The sequence below is a fragment of the Homo sapiens genome, chromosome 9 (genome assembly GCF_000001405.40).
Source record: "Homo sapiens chromosome 9, GRCh38.p14 Primary Assembly".
Classification (NCBI taxonomy): domain Eukaryota; kingdom Metazoa; phylum Chordata; class Mammalia; order Primates; family Hominidae; genus Homo; species Homo sapiens.
This window is the reverse complement of record NC_000009.12, coordinates 8,449,212-8,473,423: the sequence shown is the minus strand read 5'-3', so window position 1 is coordinate 8,473,423 and position 24,212 is coordinate 8,449,212. Positions and strand designations below refer to the sequence as shown.

General features: G+C 35.9%; 1 protein-coding gene across 55 annotated transcripts in view; it reads left to right on the top strand.

Annotated features, from left to right (window-relative positions):
* Positions 1–24,212, top strand: part of PTPRD (protein tyrosine phosphatase receptor type D) — a 2,298,757-nt gene that overhangs the window by 2,139,579 nt on the left and 134,966 nt on the right. For 19 of the 55 annotated variants that reach the window (XM_017014961.3, XM_017014971.3, XM_024447625.2 and 16 more), the window contains 5 exons: positions 2,339–2,429; positions 7,749–7,958; positions 12,853–13,013; positions 18,830–18,844; positions 23,587–23,699. In XM_017014961.3, coding sequence (XP_016870450.1) covers positions 2,339–2,429; positions 7,749–7,958; positions 12,853–13,013; positions 18,830–18,844; positions 23,587–23,699 — 590 coding nt within the window. The remainder of the gene's footprint in view (positions 1–2,338; positions 2,430–7,748; positions 7,959–12,852; positions 13,014–18,829; positions 18,845–23,586; positions 23,700–24,212) is intronic. The other 36 variants (NM_002839.4, XM_047423651.1, XM_047423645.1 and 33 more) reach the window with 5 other exon arrangements.

The following is a 24,212-nucleotide window of genomic DNA, read 5'->3' as shown; positions in this document are numbered from 1 at the left end:
ATGCTCATTTAACATGATGGACTTGTTCGGTAAATCCTTCAGATGGTGGGAGGACAGGAGAGGGGGAAGCTTACTCTGGATCATAACATAAAAGATATTGGTCTCTGTCATACGCAGAGAAGCCTCTGCCTTCTCCTCATCCTCCTTGATCATTATGATTGTTTGTAGTAAAGAAAATGAATGGCTAGCTGGTGTAATCCTGTGTATCTGTTGATTAGTTGCTCAGGGCACCATGGAGAAAGCATTGTGGTATAGTTGTCTGGTTTGAGTTGAATTCTCCATTAGGGGAAAAGAAGTTTGACAAGCTCTTTAACCTGCAGCTCACGGAATTTCATGCAGTCTTACTGAATAAGATAGTTCAGATGCGTCTCTCCGGCCTGTGATGTTCATACTAGCCAGTAGCAGCTGGTATCTGTTTACTGCTACATGCCACACACACTGTGCTGAGCACCTCTGGTTTATTTCCCCCCATATCACAGCCTGGTATTTTTTACTCACGTATTTCAGAATATATAACAGATTCTGGGGTCTAAGCCAAAGATCAGCCCAAACTCCCAGCCAGACATATCTCCAAGTGCCATATTCTTCACCAGAATGCTCTAGAGCAGTGCCGTCCAGCAAATATAATGAAAGTCACATGTGACATTTTAAGTTTTCTAGTAGCAACAGTGAAAAAATAAAAAGCAGGTGAAATTAATTTTAATAATTTATTTTATTTAACCTAATACATCCAGATTATTTTATAATGTATCATTATTTTAAAAATTATTACTGAGATATTTCACACTCTTTTTAATGCTAAGTCTTTGAAATGCAATATGTCTTTTACATTTACAGTGCGTCCCAGTTTGGGCTAGTGACATTGGCAGTGCCCGATGGCCCCCAGGGGCTAGTGGATACCATGCTGAACAGCTCTGCTCTAGACTCTTAATGGAAACAGAGTTCTTAATCACAGAGAGTTTACTGAGTTTATTACAGGTTTTGCTTTGAGATGAATAGAAAGAGGCCTTGCTGGCCTCTGTGGTCTCTGTGATTGGTCTCTGTGATTCAGTGTGACACAGGGTTGGGAGTGTCCTTCCTCTTGTTTCTTTGTCCTGTGTGGTGGCCTCCTCTTTTAAAGGTATGGGGGTATGTTTAGGTCCGTGTGTGTGTGTTTTCATTTTCACAGTAAATCTCCACGAAGTGTATGGAGTCCTTAGAAAATACTTTATGACACATAGAGTAAATAAGAAAAAGAGACAGACCACTGCCACCATTAAGATAAATGTAGCTTTGCGTCCCATTACTATCTGTTTTAATTTGGCAATTATTTAATCTCTACAGATCTGTCTTTTTGCCTGTGACCAGTCCTTGTAGCCTTATAGGCTATACCTAGGCTTTGCTCAGAGAATTTCTCTGTAGGAGGACAAAACCAGATTATGCATTTACTATAATACCTGAGAAGTAGGAAGTGATTAATATGTTATTATTAAACAGTATGTTCAAAGTCCTTGTATAGTTACTACTAAAGATCAGTATGAGCAGAATCCCTAAACAGGAATATGAAAGCAGAGTATATACTAGACTGAAGTGACAAAACAGCTTTACAAATAACCCATACCTATTTGTGGATGGGTGCCTTTATACATTCCTTAAATTTTAGTTGACTGTTCTCAGTGTAAGTATTCAGTTACTTTTGTCTTTTCGTATAGATGTCATTATAGTGATAGCTGTTTTGAAGGCCCTTAAGTCGTGATTTTCTCCAATTTTCTGCGGTACTTACCTCGAGATTTGCAATTTGATGGGTAGAAAAAGAAGGGAATTTTTAATATCTTACTCTGTGCAATTATACCTAATTTTTGTTACTTAAAAATTTTTAATTCAAATAAAAAGCATTTTAGGTTTGTATAAACAACAGCACTACTAGGTATTTATGTGGGCTAAGAGTGAAATTTTTCATCTATATCCTCCTTTTAAAAACATCTTCTTATAAATTCATGTCATAGAAAATATTTGGTTCAGCAGCTTGTGGTGGTAGATTGCAGTATTCTAGCCTTGTATGTGTCCAGCACCAGGGCCCTAACAAACTATGCCTGCTCTGTTTATGATACCTAATAAAGAGCAGTCCACCATGATGATATTACCATACAAGATCACTGCAATCACACATAAATGTCTTCCCGTGTTGTTTTTAAAATTGAACAAACAGGTGGATATTTGTCATTGATGTAAGAAATGGACAAGTCACCCCATATCCATAATTTGCCTTCAACCTCATTGGTCTGTGGAAGGTTTAAGGGTATATCCACGTTTTCCTCCTTTCAACTAACCTAACTTTTATCTATTCATTCTTGTGCAGAGGTTACTACATAATAATTGTGCCTTTGAAGAAATCTCGCGGGAAATTTATCAAGCCATGGGAGAGTCCAGATGAAATGGAATTAGATGAGGTAACTGTGTCATTGTTGGCCATGTCTTTTATTCGTTATTTAATCTGCTGCATTTCCGCCCCCCTCCCTTGGAGGCCTTTCAGGATCTAATCTGGGTGCTGGCTTCTCCATACCTAGCTGGTTGGATGGTTCAGTGCTATGGGCATGCTAACCCCTGGGGATCCCAACAAAGATCCTTTGGCTTTAATTAAAAAACATTAAGCTGCAATAAAGCTTACAACCTGTCTAATCTTTGTTGGCCTTAACATTTTGCCCCTTGCTCCTTGTAAAACATGATGTAGAGGTGTGGAAGGTGAAGTGAATTGTCAGCAAAGACTTAATCACCATTGGTATAAATCCCAAGGTCCCCTTCATTAGTGCAACAGTTGCTGAGGCTGTCACAAACACCAAGTTGCAATTTGCAGCAGAGTTCATTTGACCTACGATATGGTCTTAACCAGTTTCTCACAGAATTCTGTTGATTATCAGATGTTTGCCTTGTTCTATATTCTGTAGGTTTTCAGAGTCAAAAATGCATTTAACTATAGAGAAAACAAATGACAAAATTGTGAGCAAAGCAGAATATATAGAATAAGAAACAACAAATACTAAATATATAACGTGGATTTCCAAAATCTTGCAACAGCAGGTGCATTATAATTGGTACTCTTCTTGTATAAGGACATTTTTGAAAGGTAATGCATAACATGAAGAACAAGACATAATTACTACATACTTCTATTTAGGCAAGAAAATATGATCCAGAAGTGTTGAGCTAGATCCCCAGAGGACCACAGCAAGTTAATGAGTAGAATTCACATTTTAAAATACAGAAGAGCCTTTGTTATTTTAACATGATGCTGTTTTCAATCAGTTCATAAGGCAAATAACCGTAACGCCCCCATTTGGCAAATATGAGATTTTAATTTATTGGGATTATTTATAGCATAGGCCACATCTTGTAGTACAATCTTTTATTTCTAGGTATTTCTTCTACCTCAAATTAGTACAAACAGAGCAAGGAAAAGAATAAATTCCCTACCTACATTACAGAGAGATGATGCTTATTTCATATCTATGTCTGCACAAAGGAGACTGTGATCTGACCAGAAAGGTTGTTAGCTTTCTTTGGCAGACGTGTGTCATCTCTAGAAGCGGGATTTATGATCACTGGCTTCATTTATCTGAATTAAATTTGATCGTGTTCAGACGAGGAGATGAGTTCAAGGTTAGGCCTATGCTTTTGTGTCACTAGTGATTAGATGATCATTGGAGCTGTGTAAAATGAGACATTATTTCAATAATGTCATCAAGTAATTTAGATATGTTATAATTTAATTGTTTTGTTTTGATGGTGAAGGAACAAAATCATTATTCTGTGATATTCAGAAAATAGTAATCCTTTAACTGAAAATGCAGAATGATCAGCTGCTCTTTTCTAAGCATTTTGAAGCCAAACATGATTTTACTTGCAACTGACTAATCAATTAATCTTGATATATTCTTTACTATTTTAATTGGTTCTCAGCTGAACTACAGAAGTGTCATCATCCTGTTTAAGTTGAAATGGAATTTAAAATGCAAAGGCAACTTGTAGAATCTATGAATTGTTCTACCTATTAAAAAAAAGTTTTTAAGGCACTGAGATCCAAGCCAGAATGACATCAAATAGTTTTAACTAATAAGCTTTCCTTAGAAGTAAAGCCGTTTGGTAGTAAGTAATAGAAAGTGATTCTCTTTTGTAGCCAGGTTTTAACCTCCAAAATGCACAGCAACACTAATGGATTAAAGTATAGGGCTATATGACTTTGAACTTTCTTGCAATTAAATTCTGTGGGTCTCCGCTGCTGATTCCCATAACAAAGGGTCATTTTAATCATCCAAGTTGTGGTGCATTAATCTGTATAATGGTTTGATAAAGAACATTTTATTAATTCAAAATTTTTGGGTCGGGATGGGTTGTTTCCCACTTTTCTTACTGATATAATTGAGACCACATTGTAGAATTAATGGTGGAAGAAATAAGATATGCATTGACTGGAAAATGAAAATTATTTCTGATAAAGAACTAAAGCCCTTGATATATCTTCTGGAATTACCTCCAGTACATCTTGTAACCATTGTGGAGGGGAACAAATGAAAGTAGGCTATGGCCTCACTTTATGCTTACTCATCCAGTTTTTGATCCCTACAGAGAGTTTTTTTTTTTTTTTTTTTCTACCATGGATAATAAAAGCACTGTAGTAATTTTATCTATAGCTTGATACTGCCAGGTTTGACAAAGCAGTGTTCCTCTCTTAAATGTATTTGATCAAGTAATTTTTCAGAAAGGCCTATAATTCAAATTGTTGGAACCATATCATTGAATAGAATGGTGGCCTAAGGGGATTTCCACACGTATACCTCATATCTAGGCCCATAAGAAATTGAAAGAGGCTTTCCAAACAGCATTACTCTCAAAATTATCTTCTGAGTTCATTTATCCTTTGTTACCGGGCTGCTCTCCACATGATACATTTATAAACTGAAACTCCTATTGTCAAGGTCAAACTGGGTAGAGCAGACATTGATAGTCAAAATGAATTTGGGGCAGAATGACTCCCAGAATGTTAGTGATATTTAATTCAGAGCAGGTCATGTAATAGATCATGAGCTTTTCACTGCATTGTACTTCAAAGGCTTGTTGTAAAATAATGTGGTCATTTGTGGTTGTAACTGCAACATGCTGGCTGACTTTGGTGTCATCTGAGCCCATTTGAACCATTTAACGTGTAACACAGGAAGCATCCTGCAGAGATTAGAGCAACCTAAAGGGGCAGAGTGATGCTCCAGGTTTGACTTTAATGAATGACTGCATTGGGTCTAAGAATACCCAAAAGCTCAAATATTTTATTGTGAATTACTTCCTATAAGTCTTCTAAAGAAACCCTAGCAGAAAGTGCTTGTGGGAATGACAATGATATGGATGAATTGCGACTATTAACTACATCTGCAGTATGAATAAAACCAAGGTAGGGTTTGATCAGTGAAGTAGAAGAGGGGACACAGTCACATAAACAACTCATGATGAATGTTTTTGATTACCCAGCTTCAAAAACTGTTCAGCACCTCTGCAGTGCATTTTCCTTCTTGGTGTAATAGGCTACTGTCCTTAACTACATATCAACAATAAGCTGTGTAATGATGCTTCAATTATAATACTTCATTAAATATTTGGTATCGGATTTTTTTTAATTAGCATATGAAAAGAATCAAGAAAAAAGAAATAATACATTCATCTGCCTTGATGTAAGCAGATACATAAAAATTATATGTATAAATACACAGAGTTAGAACAATTTAGAGTATCAGAGCTTAAACATTATATTTCCTTATGATATTGTGTAATCATTAAGTAAATTACATTATAGTTGAAAAAATCTCTAACATGGAATTTCATTTTATTTCAGTAATTGAGTCTAATTATATATTGAGACTTTCTTCTATTGTGCCTCAGTTTCCTCATTTATAAAATGAGGATAATATTAGCCATCCTTATAGGGTTATTACGAGGAGTAAATTGGAGCTAATGCATGTTTAGGATCCCTAGAACAGTGTCTGGCACTCAGTAATTGCTTAATAAATGAAAACTATTATTGTTATAATTATCAGTATTATAAGTAAAGCTAAATTTGACAACAAGATTAAAAGATAGTGCTACCTTTCTGGCCTTGTGTTTTTACTGGCCAATTGGTGCATAATTGATCAGCATAACTGAATTTATTATGGGATGGTCCAATTTTGCTAAACAAGTGATGCCCAATCTACCGTGGTTTTCCTAAAACAGCTTACATTTCATGTAATTTTAATTGCATCAATAAACTTAAATTCACAGAAAATTTTAGCACGTTATAAATTAAATATTATTGAAAAATAATGTCGGCCAAAATTTTCCTGTAACTGAAAAACTGGTTTTTTACATTTTTAGGATACAATTTTGAACCAGCTGAACACATTTACTACTCCCAGTGTAGGAGGGACTGTAACGTACGATCAAATTCCTAATGGAAGAATTCAGTGTTTATCATATATACAGTCTGAAGCCATTTTATCACAGAAGCCTAGCCTTGATCATGCCAGGCTCTCATTCTACTAAGTAGAGATCACACTTTGGTTCTTACTAGATCATTTCTATTTACAAAAACAGGGCTAGTAAATAGTTTTGCTGCACTGTTTCCATAAGTATCTTAATTTTGTTTATCAAGGTGAAGACAAGGTTCATTCCTTTTTCCAGTTTGTCCTCAAATACATAGACTTTTCTATTAATACATAGATATTAAAATAAATAAAATAAAAATTCTTCCCAAGAAAATGGCGAAAAGACTGCTGCTTACATCAACAGGCATCCCAGACTAATACAGACCTTTCCCTTGTTAAACCCTGTGAAATACCAATTTTAATTGGAGAAGTCAAAGGTAACTTTGAAATCAGTGTTCATAACCACTGTTAGTATGATTTTCTCGTAATGAAGGAGTCAATGAAAAATAATAGGTTATCCAGAAATAAACTCTATCTCTTTTCTTTAGAAATACATGAAGCATCTGTATATACATGTGCATGTGTGTTTTCTTCAGGGCAGTACTAAAATTAATTTTCATCTACCTTGCCTATATTATCTGGCAATATATACACACTCCCAAGAGAGGTCAATTCTAGAAAAAGTTGACTCCATGATAAAGTGTAAGGAAGTGCACCCTAATTGCCTAACCAGGGAGCTAAGTCAAGTCAGAAATTGGTAAATGAGTAACAATGTCTATTTAATATGTGTATATTAAAAATTGTTTATTGGATTCTGCTTCTGCTGATTTGAGGGAATTTGTATCATATGAGTTATCTCATTACTCAAAACAATCTAAAGTGGCACTAACCTCTTCTAAAATGTGGCTATATTTAAAGATTTAGATGGCTTTGTCTGAGGTTAATACTTATTTAATAAATCTCCTGCAGGGCAAGGCTTTTATGAATCAAGCTGACTTTTTTCCTTAGACAAGTTATGATGCACTTTGAGAGAATTTCATTAGTGTAGGAAATGAAATGAGCTACAGCAAAGGACCTCATTGCCCTGTGTTTATAGCCTAGACCTTGTCAGAGCAGTCCAGTATCTTACCTCTACCTTAACAGGAAGAGAAGCATTTGAAATATTGAGAGAACTGAGATTTAGTGATGCTGATGTGCTATATGAAATGTGAACAAATTGCATTTGGGTTGTTCCCAGTTCTGAATTAATTTATCTCATTAAATTATCAATAAGCTGGGTTATTATTTACAGTTCTTTTTCTGTTTCCCACTTTTTTCCTTAAGCTGCTTAAGGAGATATCTAGGAAGCGCAGAAGCATCCGTTATGGGAGAGAAGTTGAATTAAAGCCATATATTGCCGCTCACTTTGATGTCCTTCCCACTGAGTTCACCCTGGGGGATGACAAGCATTATGGTGGATTTACAAACAAGCAACTCCAAAGTGGTCAAGAATATGTCTTCTTTGTGTTAGCAGTAATGGAACATGCAGAGTCTGTAAGTTAATTATGATGGCATCTGTTTCCTATGGTACGCTTATACATTTTCACTGGAATGTGGTTATTTGGGGATTTGTGGGTATATCCATCCTCATTATTTCTCATGAACTGTTATTAAGTGTAATAACAGGCTGCCTACTCTTTGAACATTGCTCAATATACTCCTTGAGACTGCATTACAAATGAGACTATGTCTCTGATGAAGGAAATTTAGGTGGCCCTCTAGTTTATGAAGTTCCAGATCGATAGGACATGGTTCTTGATACCTTCTGATGTAACACAAATATCATGGTGTTAGAACCATCATTGCTTACAATCTCCTTCCATCATCCTTTCAAAATGACTGTTGTCCAAAAAAGGAGACTGTTGCATAATACCTGGTTGACATTAGCCCCTGTGATTGCAATGGGAACTCACAAGCTTGGCCATTCAACATGGCATATTTCTGAAAATACTGACTTTGGGGGTGATTGTATTTATTCTCCTATATCTGCCAAGTGAGACCACAGTGCCTCTACCCGGATTCATGAGGAAGGTCTATCTAGAAAGAGGCAAATACAGCAGCCTCTTTAATTGTAGAAATTTATGAGTGACTGTATCAGTGAAAAGCCAAGAAAGTTAGAAAATAATTTAATAAAAGAGAGAATTCCTAAGGTATTCTAAATAATGAGTTTTCTTCTTTTATGTAATCCATCTTGCTTATATGTCATTTTATGCTTCAGTTACTTTGAATGTTTAAAAAAAAAAAGGGGAGAGATATTGTAGATAGGCAGGGGGTGAATTTTGAAGTGGCAGTACACATGAACATTTAATATACATATTATAAACTTCGTTTTCTAATCGGTGTCTAAATATGACAGGTGTGGCAACCCAGTTGAGCCAGTCATTTCCCATATAGAAGCAGCTCACAATGTATCAAAGATTTCTCCACATCAGGTGTTAGTGTGTACAGTGGGGCCTCTCTTCAAGTGACTGAAAGAATTCCCCCGTGGAAAATCAAAACACAAAGGCAGCCTCTCTGCCTGGTTTACCTTTGTGCTCAGAATGTCATTTGAAAACAAAGTAATGGCCTTCCTGGAATTTTAATGTTCAGATATGCTTTCTCTTTCTAGTTGAAGGTTTTAAGGCAGAACATCAAGGGAATGGAATGTTAAGAAATCATCTTTTTCTTTTATTCAAAAATGACTTTTAAATATTTGAGAGGAAATTTCTTTTAATAGCTCTAGGAACATTTCAAAAAGCATACTTAGAGCATTGAGGTAGATCAGAGAATCTAGCAAAGAAGAGAAATCTCATTCGATCCTGCAGACTGAACCACTGAACTACACACTGTGGTTTCTGATGTCTTCCGCTAGTGTTTTAAATGTGTCACAACTGATAAAGAGTCTGCCCCTTTCTTTAGTATGTCATCTGTTTATTAATTACAGAATCAAGAATTTTTTCCAAATTTGTTAATGAAGTTGCCCCTTTATTCTATCATCTTTCTCAGCATTGCTTTCAAATATCTATGATATTTATTTTCTTTATATATCATAAATATTTGCAGGCCTAGGAGAGACTTGTATCCAGCTAGAGTCATTTTGCAGTAATAAAGCCTTTGTGTAAGCCTCAAATTTCCATATCAGTTTATAACAATGTTCCAAGGGTAGACTGGTAATTTGCAAAGAGAAAATACTTCTCCGTCCCTCTCAAAGACACAAGCTATCCCCTAATCCTTTGTCTCATATTAAGAATGTCAGATAACTGGTTTGGAATTATCCAAAATTTAATCTCTTATTGCCACGCACAAGAAATTATATTTTTCATTAGGCTGGTATCATTTTATGATTTTGTTTTCTTTTCATTTTCATATGTCTCTGTTTCTTGAATGGGTTGGAAATCTATGTTCTTTGGGAAAACCTGTGCTTAGACTTCCATCTCAATGGACCGTGATTATTATCTTAAAGGTTCTTGGTAAAGAATTTCAAATGAGACAGTATTGCCTAGTTCTGTCTATGAAACTGTTTTAACATCACCTACAAAATGGAGTGGGTAAAGCATAAACCAAAACAATTATATAAAAAATCATGTTTCTTAGATATATAGTTCTTTGCCAAGTCCTTTGTGTCAATCCTCATACCATACACATCTTTTTTTTTTTTTTTTTTTTTTTTTTGGCTGCCTCTGAGAAGCTTGGACATATATACTGAGTTTTTATCTTCTTGTAATGCGTTAGAAAATCTGCAAATCTAGTCAGTCTCTTTCCTGGGCACAATGACGAAAATGAGAGAGAAGAGTAGTATACAAGCATTCAGTGGAACATCTGTTCTCCTGCTTGATGGCCAAGCTCATTGTACTTAAATTCAGAATAGATGCCATAAACTAAATTTTTTAAAGATGCAGGTTAAAACATTTAAATATATGTACCAATCATGAAAAGTGAGCATATATACTGATGTCTTGACAATTTCAGCCATTTGAAAAGATGAACATTTTTTGTCTTATTCAGCCAAGATTTGCTGAGAACCCACTAAGTACAAGGTTCATTGCTAGCTGCTTTAAGCATATAAACACAAATAATATATAAATCCCTACCTTCTAGGAGTCTGTAGTTTCGCCAAAGAAAATGAAGTATATATACAAATAAAAAGCCAAAATACAGTTTGGTGAGTACCATTTAAAAAAACAAGGACTAAATAAAAATTTAGCTGTGTTATTTTTATCTTTTTTGGTTTTTTTAGTAGAGGGGAATGACCGATCACTGCCAGTCAATTAAAAAGAGGTGGTTTCATTGGAGGCAGTATTCAAGTGGGGGCCTGGAGAGTTGTTCAATTTCAGGAGCTAAATGTTGTGGAACTTGTGAGGGAGTTGAGGAACAAGAATAGAGCCTTTAGGGAGTAGTAGCAAGAAGCCCACTGTGATGGAATGTGTTGTGTGTCGTAAGCAAGTTTAAAGTAAAATTGTGGATGCCCTTGAGAACCATGCTAAGTTATCTACGTTTTATTTGGGAATCAAGAGAGAGCCTCTTGAAGGCTTTATAGTTGCAGTTTAGGATGATACCTCTAGCAGCAGTGGAGACTATGAGAGGAAGGAAGAAGCTCTTGGTATAGTTAGGAGCACATAAGTAAGGGCCTAAAGAAAAGTGGCACTCATGAGACTAGAAGAAGAGCAGATGGACCTGGGGGACACTGATTAGCTAATATCAGTGTTTCCATTCTATTCCTTTTTTCTGTAAGGTAAAATCAGTATCCATTCTTAGATACTGAGAGGATGAGAGAATTTGGGAAGTGAGGAGGAAGGGAAGAAGGATCTGGGAAAAATTAAGAAACTCATACTAATTTGAACATATATGTAGGGGTCTCTAGAAATGATTGGAAATGAAGATCTGGGATTTCATAGAGTATCTGAGTTTAGGAACATTAATGAAGAGACAGATTCTGCATGGAGGTTGATAGTTAAAGCTTGGGCTGACCTTGCCAGATAAGAGAGGACAAGAGATGCTAGTAGAGAATAGAACTTAAGAATACGGGTTCAGGGCCAGCCACAGTGGCTCATACCTATAATCTCAGAACTTTGGGAGGCCAAGGCTGGAGGATTGTTTGAGACCAGGAGTTCGAGACCAGCCTGGGAAACATGGTGAGACCCCATCTCTATAAAAAAAATTTTTTTAAAAAAAGAATGTTTGTCTATAGGATGGAGTCAGAGATAATTAACTCAGCAGGGCATGAGCAGTTGGAAAGATGAGGATGGGACTGGTTTAATTCAAAATTGAGAGAGCCAGAGATAAAAGTTTTAAAGAAGGCAAATCTGGAAAAATTGTCTAGAAAGGTAAAGAGTAAATAAAGGCAATTAGATTTGGCAAATGAAAAAAAAAAAAATAGGACCAATGGTGGTTTGGAGTGAGAAGAGATGAGGAGTGAGTGGTAGAAGCAGGGCAGTTAGTGGATATGGATTAGTTTCTGTTGGATTGGAAAGTGGAAGATAGGGCCTTGAAGGGGGCAGGTAGAGCCAAGAAGATGTTTTCCTAATATAGGCTAAAATAGGACAGAACTAAATGGGATCGGATATCATAGAAATAAAAATCATCGATATTTAGTCCATTTCTTCTCCAAGTAACTGTATTCTTAAAAAGTATATTATCAGTTGTCTATTGAGAACAAACATACCAATCTCTGAGCAATAACTGTAATAAAACTAAGTGAGAACTGCTGAATTCTTTTAAGTTCTAAAAATTCTATATTTTATAAAGCCATATCATCAATTCTGTACATCTCGCATCTGTAATTTGAACTGTGGAATTCTCTTTTGAAATTGTAGACTTTATTTGTTCATGCTTTGGCCTCCATTTCCTAACTAATATGCAGTAGTATTAAGTAGTACCAAGCACTAAGAAGCACAGTAGTACTAATGACTACCGATATTCACATTTAATTAAATACTGACTTATTTTGCATTGTAAATATGTACTTTGGTCTCCTTAACTGTATGATAATGGCTTGAGGGCTAGAACTCTAGTTTTTCTCTTGATTTTCACACAGCACCTAACGCCTTGGCACAATGTAAATGTTCATTAAACATTTTGCAACTGGTTAATTACTGGTACTTTACGCTTCATAGGATCATTTAATACACCATATAGAAAGCCCAATAAAAAGTGTCTATGAAGTAATTTGTACTATCAAAATGATTTTATTATAAAATAGTTCACTCTATAAGGAAATTTGTATTACAAAACATCTTCCATCCTTTCTTTTCTTTATTCTCCTCTCCCCTCCCCTCTGTTTTGCTAATATTGCATCACACACTTATCATTAAATCCACTATTTCCTGGATTTTTTGCTTCTTCTAATGTTAAAGGTACTTATCTAGAAAGTCATTATTTTATAACTGAAATAGACTCTGCTTTTCCTCAGAAGATGTATGCAACCAGCCCTTACTCCGACCCCGTGGTGTCAATGGATCTGGATCCGCAGCCAATCACGGATGAAGAAGAAGGCTTGATCTGGGTTGTAGGTCCTGTCCTTGCAGTGGTCTTTATCATCTGCATTGTCATTGCTATTCTTCTTTATAAAAGGTAGGTTTGCCCAATATTTCTGTTGTAATTTTGGAGGCTGCCTTATTTTTGAAGACTTGATCATTGTTCTGCTGTCCTTAGGTGGTTGATTTTAGTAGAAATACTTCAGTGCCATTTCAATTATTTTTGGAAAAGTGTTTACATTACAGTAAGATCAAAATGTAAAGACTGTACTATTTGGAATCTTATTCAGTTTTGGTATAGACTTCTGTTGTCCAACATGCATCTATTCTGGCCTCCAATCTTCTGAGCTGCTTTATGCAGATAAGCACTTTTCATAACAATTGAGGCATTAGTGCATTCACAAGCAAATAATTCCATGCAAGCTTTCATTTGATTGTTTTAGATAATTAATTGCTCGATTTCAGTGTGTTTTTTGAAACACTATCACGATTTTGCAATTTGTATACATATCATAATTCTAATTTGCGCAAGTGTTGAGATAGCTCCCTGTAGCTATTTCTCAAAATTTAGCAAAAGCAGATAAAAATTAAGGATTAAGGAAGGGGAAAAAAAAGAGAAGGATGGAGAATGAATCGTCTCCCAATTTTCTTCTAACTCTTATTCCACATCTGCACTGGTGAATTCGTGTATGTGTCCAAAAAGGGATGCCAAGGTACTATTTTCCTTTTTTAAAAAATATAATCTCAGTCTTATTATGCCCATGTGTTGATTTGAGTAGTGTCTTTGACTACAGTTAGGATGCAAATAATCTGTGTCTACCCACATTTTTCTGATATGCCACTCTTTTTCAATTTTATTTCTGCCTCTAACATCTAATCTCTAATAAGATTTTTTCCCCTAGGGCACTGGCCAGTCAGTTAGATAGAGGACATTAGTAATTGTTCTTATAAATTCTTTCTGTCTTAAGAATATAATTATAATATAAATATGAACTTATAAAGAGTAGCATATAATATACTTTCTTAAACATTTAAAATGACTAAATTCAAAATTACTTCCCTTTATATAGATTTTTATTTTTTTCCAATCCAAATTGTATTTTCACAAAACTTTAATCCATGTTCTCGTTTTCCTTGTGGTGTGTTATATTTTGAAATGCTACTGTGAAGTTGATCTCATCCTTCTACTACAAGATAGCTTCTCTCCCTGTCCCTAACCTTGGCCTTCAGAATCTAAAAAGAGTATCTTCATTTTGATTCTTGCTTACATGCTTAATCTAATAATCTCATTTCCATTCACTCTTTTTCCTACCCATCTAGCTCCCTTTTGGGGGGTTTATATTAATTATTTTCACCCTCACTCCCTTGCTCTTCTGTCCCTGGAATAACGTTTTTCCCCCATAACCTCTTATCTTGACTCTTAAAAAAAGAAACTCCTTCAAAACTCTTCTCTTTTGAAAAACTTGTTTTTAAAAGGCTCCATTTCATTTTATTCCAGCATTAAGAGAGGGTTGAGAAAATAAAGGACAAATGAAAGAAGTTCATAACCATAACCCATTAAATTGCCTATCCTATTTTAGAGTTATAAAGAATGAAAGATATATCCATCATTATTTTTTTTCATGAACACTGCCATCATTCAATTATCCGTGCTGTAAAATAGCTGAAAAAGTAAGTGTGGAAAGCCAAAATCTCCTCTCATTTGATGATTTGAATCTTCCATTCCAATCTGTATCTATAAGCATGTATCTTAAGGAACCCATTGTATTTTATTACCTCTCTCCATGTAAGAGATAAGGGCAGGAAGCATGAGGTACACACCTGCCCCGTGAGTAATCATAGACCCTGTTTGAGTCCAAGCAGGAGCTGGTGTCCTTTGCTGTCTGTACGCTGCACTTTTTTCCAGAAGAGAATTCAATAATAAAAAGCAGTGGTATAATTCTAATTGTTTTCTGGGAAATATTGATTTAGGTAGTCACATACTACTATGGGAGTAGGTCAAAAAACAAGGGATTGTTGACAGGTGTATTTCTAGACCATATGACATGACATTTTGTGATTATTTGAAATGGGAAAAATTAATGCCTTATTTTTAAGTTATGTTTTATTTGGATATACATAGCTATCATTAAATCATACCAAGCAACAGATGTATATGGTATTTGTGAATCAGTCATGTAAATTTGAAGAAATATGATTATAGCCCTAATAATTTTTAAAAGATAACTATTTTCTTCCTTCATCTGCAAGTGCTTAAAAAATCAACTCACTTATAATTTTTCCTAATCCCACAAAAAGAAGTATCATATTTAAAGGTTTTATGACTCTGTTAAAATAGAGTAGCATTTTAGTGTGGGCCTATGTAAGCATCGTCTAATGCAATTGTTGGGAAATGCACACATCCTCGAATGCTAAGTATATTTAGCTAACCATCTGAAGGCCCATGAAGCATTTCTGAAATAGAAATGCTTGCTTCAGCAGTAAAGAACATTCCTGACTTGAAATTCAAGTAGAACCAACAATGTCCTTCTTGATTATCATGAGGCAGTTCAAAAGGAAATCTTCTGTACCCAATGAATAGTGTCTTTTATAGCTTGGATTCTGAGCAAAGTTAATTACATAATAAATAGTCCATTCCCTCTTTTTAGGTGCCTTTCAGTTTATATACAGGTCATTGGTAATGACTCAGAATTGAAAGTATTATTATTATTATTATTGTCAGAATATTTTACTTCCCATATGCAAATACTGCTTTGAGAAGAGAATGAGAATAAAACGTTGTTGACTCACATTATATTGATAATCCACTTTATCATATATCTCTGCTTCTAAGATGCTAGCATTAGCAATAGGTCTGTAGCTACAGATAGTTTTATCATATAAAGAAGTATATTTTACCCAGCTGTCTGAGGAGACTTTGAGACTTATTCCTATTAGATCTATTCATGTGGAAATGGCATACTCTTTGATCTGGCATTCTGTTCATTTAACTTTTGTTTTTAATCTAGTAATCTGTATACCTATAATACATTGATAATCAGTAACAAAAAAAAATCACCAGGGCTTGGTAAGATCCCTAAAATACCCTCTGAATCATCAGAAAATTAAAATATATTTGGTATATCTTTAATGTTATAAATTTTCTTGTACTATAATTTTGAAAAAATATTATATGGCCCATGACTTAAAATACACATTCCAGAGATAAGATAGTAGCAACGTTCGGCCAAGTACTGGACTGAGGAGCCAAGAAACCCGAATCCAAGTCCCAGTTCTGTGACTAGCTGGTTGCATGGGGTAGAAATTCATGCCAACACTCTGAGCCTACATTTCTTCATTACAAAGTTAGTGGGTGGACCAGATAATTAGACCTTTTTAATCATAATGCGCTATAATCTGAAAACATTAAACACCAGATAATAGTATTGGTACTGCACGTCCATCTACTCCAACAAAAAATTCACAAGGCAATTGAAAGTTCTTATTCTGTATATCTGTTACATATGTAAGGCTTTTCAGACTTTATTCCAGAACTGTCCAAGAATTATTTATATAAAAAATAAACATTTAAAAATAAACTGTTAACCTTACCTCTATGGAAAAGCATTTCAAGATGGATAAAAAGTGTTTATTACATACTATGGAATCAAAGAAAGTGTAGATCAGGTGGTCCTAGAAGTCTGAGATGCACTTCAGGCAAAATTAACATCCTTGAATGGTAATAATCTAGCCTGCATGCACACTATTTTTCCATCCCCATCCCAGGATGTGGAAACCATGAGCTAGATGAGACTGAAATGTAGGCTTCAGTTTTTCCAGCCTTTTCCTGCTCCAACACTGGCTCTCTGCAAGCTTTGTGTCTTTAGTCTTCTCTTTCTGTATCAACCCTCCATACAGTTCCAAGCCCTCATCAAGGAAATGCAGTCCAGAATATTTTGAGATGCTATGAAGAAATATGTGGCCACACCCAACCATACTGGAAGCTGCTGGTTGACTCTGCTTTCTGGCTTCTGAGTAGGCCCTCCCTAGGTTAGGAATGCCTTTCCTGTCACTCCCCTGCCACTCCTTTTGGCTTGGATAACTCCAACTCATCCTTTGGAAGTAAGCTAGGATGCTACCTACTAAATCAAGCCTTTCTGGGTGCCTGCCTCATTTTCTGTCCTCTCTTCTCCTCCCCTCTCTAGCAGTTCGGGCTGCTTTAGGATCACTTTTCCTGAGCTCTTAAAGTACTTTCTACTTGTCTGTTGTAGAACCTACTGCGTTACTGTCAATGCCCCTTTTCTTGGCACTTTGCCTCCACTAAACTGCAGGTCAAGGACTCTGTCTTATTCATTATTGTGTTGCTACTGCCTAGTAGAGTGCCTGGCACACAAAAATATTGAATAATTAAATGTATACAAGTCAAACAGTATTAAACAAACTCAATTCCTTCTACATGTTGACTCCATCACTCAATATCAACTTTATTTTGGCTGGCAAGAGTTGCAATAAAATCCTCGGCCTATAATTTAAATTTACCAGTTGTGAAAGCTTTCAAACTTAGATATTTGTACCACATATGTACCCAGGTGTATGGTGAGGCTGACCTTTATCTGGAACTATGAATTTGTGCATATGAATACTCAAAACAGCCTTTTAATACATAGAACTGATAATTCACTAGATGGTTTTCCATCCTGAGGCATAGATTTTTCTACAACTGATTCCCTGATAAAGTCACTGATTTTAAAAAGTGAGCAAATTGGAAACATTTATATAGAATTCTTTTTAACCTGGCACACTACGTAAATCACTATAAAATTAAGAATAAGAAGAATTAACCAATGTGTTTGATATCATTTTCATCATTTACTTTGTATGTGTGTGTTTGTACCATTTAAATGTGGATTTTTTTATTTTTGAAAAGAGATGGATTGAATTATCTCACAGGGCCAGATATTCCAGCCACTTGGGTATATATTTCATTGGCATTAAGAAAAACTTAGTACCTTTATTTTGCAACTGGGAACTCACTGAAAACTTTGCAATTTGCCTCAAAGTGAAGATTTTTAGATTAATTGTTTTCAGGAAAAGGTTATACTCTGCAGAAATAATATGGTTATTTACACAATCAACATATTATCACAGGTGAAAGGATCTATAAGCATGAACTAGTTGTGTTCACAGACAGCACCACAGACTAGGAAAATACATGTTCTGTCAATGGCTGGTAATAAAATGTTTTTCTGGATTAGCCCAACTGTATAAATGGGCCATGCTCTGTAGATTTATAATGATGGGTATTATATTTTCCTAAACTGAAGATGCACTTAATCCTTCATGGGAAAAAAGATGTGGCAAGAGGTGTTTGAAGAAATCATTTCTGCCACCTTATTACCTTTTGGTGTATTATTCAATTGTGCAAATTTCTGTATAGTTCAATACAATTTGCAGATATTTTATATCATGAAAGGAATGACATACCTCTTAATTGAAGGCTTTTTATTTTAAATGAACGAATTTCTTTTATGGAATGATGCTGTATTCCCATTGAGTACATTAGTTTTCTCATAGCATGTTTTTTAAAAATCAAATTATCTCTCCACTGTCGAACACTTCCTGGGATATAATTAATTGTGGCAGTATTTTATAGGTGATGGATAAAAGTGCACGTGGCATTCACACACACACACACACACACACACACACACACACACTATGTATTCAGTGATGTAACTTCATGTCCTCTGTTTAGTTCATAATCAGAGGTCTATAAATATTTTGATTCGCTGTCGCTTCTGAATGTATGTCAGTTATGTGTCCTTGCTTGTGAACACTATTTCTTAAATCTTGGTTGTCATGGTTATCCTTGTTACCATTGGCCAACTAACATTTAGCCTTTCTTTTTCCTTTTTTTGCTGCATTAAAATGGAGCAGTAAACCCGACAGGTGAGGAATAGAGAACAAACCCCTTTAATGTTCAGTAAGAAAAAAATAAACTGGTAGACTTCAGAGTTGTTGAAGAGGGGAGGGCGGGGCTGCACACAAAAGATAATACCTGGCACGTGGAAGATGGGCAAAGCCTACATATACACAGTAACTTCATTAAGATGATTCTGGGGAAAATAAATATTTTGTTTACATTAGAAAAAAACAGATTAAAGGCGAAGTTTAAAAGATAGTACACAAACCAATATCTGAGTTTTGTTTGTGGTCAAGATTAAAATGGGCATTTGTGTGTGTTGATGTGTTTACAGAGCAGACATGTGAGGTGTCTCATAAACTGTTTTGTTTTGTTTTGTTTGTTTTTACCAAAGATTAGTTTTCAAGTTTGAGTACAGATCACCTAATGATATTAGCATTTTCACATCCTGCAAATATTGATGACAGTGCCTTAGTGAGAACTCTTCCCCAATTCAAAATTATTATCCATGTCTCCCAGTCTTGAATAATAAGAGCAATAATAATAGCTAAAATACACTATGTGATTATTGAATGATTAATCCAAACTAACCCTCTAGCTTTCTAACTCATATCTATATATTCATATACACTTATGTATAAATATACACATGTAACATATATATAAATTCCCGATTAAAATTAAACTACAAAAAACATCTTGAAGATCACCTACCTTTCTCCCAATGCCATATTCCAGTGGTTTCCATTGAGTGGCCTCTGGACCAGCAGCCATAGCGTCAGCACCACCAGGGAACTTGACGGAAATACACACCCTTGGACCCCGCCTCAGACCTACTAAATCAGAAAGTCTAGGCATTGGCCCACCAGGCTGTATTTTAACAAGCCTTCCCAGGTGATGCTGATGCATACTAAAGTTTGAGAACTATTGCTGCATTATTTACACTAAAATCACTTTATGTTGGTCAGCAAGCCTCATGTTCAATGATAAGAATCTTTAAACCTCTATGAGGGTGTCTTCTTTGTGTGGACATCTCTAGTATCCATTTGTCCAGCAGAAAAACACGTGCAAAATAGTTTGTTTTTGTTTTTTCAGCCAAAAGACAAAACACTTTAAACTCACTTAAAATACTACCTTTCATCGGCCAGGCATGGTGGCTCACGCCTGTAATCCCAGCACTCTGGGAGGCTGAGGCGGGTGGATCACAAGGTCAGGAGATCGAGACCATCCTGACTAACACGGCGAAACCACATCTCTACTAAAAAATACAAAAAATTAGCCAGGCATGGTGGCGGGCGCCTGTAATCCCAGCTACTCGGGAGGCTGAGGCAGGAGAATGGCATGAACCCGGGAGGCAGAGCTTGCAGTGAGCCGAGATCGCACCACTGCACTCCAGCCTGGGCGACAGAGTGGGACTCCGTACCTTTCATCATAACACTTTTCATATTTTACAACTTAATGCTTTCTTTTTCTATTAAAATGAGAGAGTTGAACCAAAACTTAGACATCCTCTTCTAATCTCCCTCTATTTTATACACAAATAAACTGAAAAGAAAATTTGTAGTTGACACATACCAGTAGTGGCAGAGTTGGGATTACATTCTTAATGTTAACAGAAACAAATATTTTGATTGATTTACTTGAATATTGATGGTAGATATTTCTAATAAGTATATGTTTCTTTCAAAAGCCTCTTCTCACATGTCTGTATATCTTTGTTTCAAGACCATGAATTGATCTTTCACTCAACTTCTCTTTGTTTTTTTCTTCCCCCCAGATGAGAGCCTGGTGAAAGCAAAATACCCCGTAGACCAGAGTAGCATTTGTATTGTGTATTACCCACATCCCAAACAACCACATGCTTTTATAGTATTAGCAGTTTCTGACAGATCCAAAATGTCAAGTGATCTTCCATTTCCTTTTCACCTACATAACTCCTCCACATAGTAGATAGTTCTCACTGCAAGAAATAAACTCGCACTAACATTTTATAATCTTAATAGAAAAAAAATAGAGCAAGGCAAAATTTAAAATCTGTTTCTATTCATTATTCTTTCCATTTTTCAAATCGAAAATGAGAATGATGAGACCTCTGAAATTTATCAGGAAAAAAGGTTACTAGTTACATTCATGTTGGGCCTAATTTAGACCATTATATGTCTTTTAATATTTTATGACAACGTTTTAAAACTCTTTAGTATTATTACCAATGATGACCAAACTCTTCATCTTCCACATCTTTCCTAGAAATGGTTTCTGTGTTAGAAAACAATCATTCTAGCACATCACATAATAAGTGTTTAAAAATAATGTGATAAGAATGTGGACAGCCAGAATTATCCATGTTGTGATCATCGAAAGAAAACTAAGCAAAATACATTTAAGCAGCTGGTTTTCTATTTGACTAGGATTTCAGGAGTCTGAGGTCTTGGAAATAATTTCATTTGAATAAACAGTGAAAGAGAAGTTAGTTATTAAATGTCACTACATCCCTCCCTGTTCATTCAAATTGTGAATTGTAATTTTAGTCCCATGTCTTGAGTTTTCTGAGACTCACATCTTTGCAACAAGATGTAATTCCTAACTTTCCTTGCACCAGAGAAATGGGCTAAATTACTTTAGAGAGTTTTCTTTTCTACCCTCCAGCTCAGTGTCACTCACCCCAGCCACAGGGAAAAAGAAGATAAGGAGGTTACCCTACAATACCTGTAAGAGTAAAGTAGTTTTCTTGCCCAGATAGATATTTCTAATTCTGGTTTCCATAATCTTGCAAGAATGGCAGAGCCACAATGGGAAGGGAGAAAAATCCAAATTTTAGTCGTTGGGCCTGACACATTAGTAAAGAAATGCATCCTTGCCAACTTATGCAAAATGATCAAAACATGAGAAGGGCCATTGGTATTATTTGAAGTGAGAAGACCAACCATATGTTTCACGTGGAATTGACTGGCTGGCTGCACCCAGTGACGTTTCATTAACCCATTTCGATTTTGCATCTTCAGTGGTAAAAGGAATCTCTTAGTGTGGTGAGGCGAAGACCCATAGCACAGACACAGTGACATTGCCTACTCTGAAACTGGCCATCATGTCCTCCTTTCGCATGGTCTTATGAGCCTGTCTTTTTCTTCGTCCTCATATCTTTTTCACCAGCCCTTTGTCTTTTCTTTTTCTTTTCTTCTTCCTTTCTACTCCATAGAACTGGAGCTGCCAGTACCTTGGCAGGTCGCAGAATACTGCTCACCTCTGATTGGTGGAATGGGTTGGCAGCACATTTTGTCCCAAGGCTGTATCTGACACCTTTAGGTAGAAAGAAGAAATCCTCAGACAGGTTAATCTAAGGTACCGAGAAAGCAACATGTCTAATAGGACTTAGCCATGAAAATGTATTCCATTAAGGATGTTTTGCCAAAGGCACTGCACTTGAGCAAATCATGTGCACGTCCCCTTTGTATCAATCTTCTCTTCACCCCCTGGTTAGTTTTATTTTATACAGATGAGCAGAAATGGGAAGAAAGGCTATTTAACAGGAGCCCTCTGGCTAACCATAGAACGACCTGGGTGGCATTGAATGAGACCCCATTGCCACAGCAACACTAATGAGCTGTACCACAGTCACATCGAACAGAGAAAAGGAAAGTTCCTAAACACTGTGCAGCACCTTTTCCCCCCCACAGTAAAAACGCCTTTGCTTTGAGCAGGGGTGAGATACTAGGATTGTGACTGTGGTGTAGAGATTGCAGGCGTTAGTATTTGGAAAAAAAGCACTGTTTGAAAATGGCTTCTATTGATTCAATGGGTTTTTAATCTAATTCAAACTGGAAGAAGATAGTTAGGACTCTGTGATTAATTTTTTATTGGATAAAGAAATCTTATATACAGATCTGACATTTCTTGCTTAGAAATTTGTTAAAATTACATAATGAGAGCTTAAATGGGGATATCTAATAAAGCTAGTAGATAGCTTTTAGAACAAAGTTAAAATGTATTGTGTGAAGAATCACATTTATAACAAGGCACTGTCAATGGCACCTTGAATGATTATCAGGAGCGCTGATCTACCCACCAGGTGAAATTACTTTTTCTCTGATCTTTCTGTGAACCTTTCATTAACAAAATATTAATCACAGTTAGCTTAACACTGTTAAGAGCTAACACTGTTTTTTTTCCTTCACATTTGAAAGAGAAAGGGGAGTTCTGTTTTACCTGGTCCCGATTATCCTAGGCATTAGGATAACTTGGCATCTTAAAAATGCACTTGTGTTTACCTGCCTTATGGGAAAATCTACGGCATCTACTCTCTGTAGTCACCACTTATATATACTTAGGGCTAAGGGGGACAGATTTAGCTGTTCAGCTTAAGGTCAGGTAGTTTCTCTATGGTAACAACAGTCTTAGTATTGGCAACTTAGGGGTATCCTATCCTGTTCCTCACAAATAGAACTAGTAGATAAGAGAGAATTGCTCAATAAGGGTCCATGCGTATCTCACCAAGATCCCTTTGAAACCAAAAGGCAGAGTTGCTGAATTATTTAATCCTGCAGTTGGAGGAGGACTTCGAGATCATTGACTTAAACAAAAATTTTAGACCTGAGAGAACAATTAGGCCAGGGGGGAAAAGCAACCCGAACTGGGTCACAAGTCAGCTGGGTTGAAAAGTTGTAAAACTGAAAACTTGGGAGGTGGGGGGAGTGCAGGTGCAATTCTCTGCTTTTCTATCTGTTTCAATTGATTTTTCTTTTCTTCTTAAATTTCTATTTTCCCCCTATAGGAAGAGGGCAGAGTCCGACTCTAGAAAAAGCAGCATACCGAACAATAAGGAGATCCCTTCACACCACCCAACAGACCCTGTAGAACTGAGGCGCCTTAACTTTCAAACACCGGGTAAGAAGCATCACACATCTAATCCACACACAGTCTTTCCCAGAAGTTGTACAGCTCAATTGATATTAAGAGTTGAAGGTATCACTTTATTTTGAGCCATTTTGTTCATCCTGCTCTTTTATTTTACTATTATGGAGACTTGCCCAAGCAAAAGTCTGAAAGGAAATTAAGTTCTTTCTGCAAACCGGAAATTGGGTAGGGAAGAAAAAGAAATATGGGTATCCTTCAAATTTTGGAAGAACTATAGTCTTTATAATAATATCTACCATTTTTATGGGCTTTGATTATTGTTTTTATTATTTCCAATGACACCACTCTGGAAAGAATTCAGTTTCTCATCAAGTGAATGAATGAGTAAATGGATGACTGTACACATCTTTCATCCCATGGGAAAGCATAGATTTGTTCTATATTTTCCTTTTTGTTTGTGTTTATGGTACTCTGAAAGAGGAAGGAAGAAAGGGAGGGAGGGAGGGAGGAAAATGAGGTAAATATTTTTAAATATTACCTATA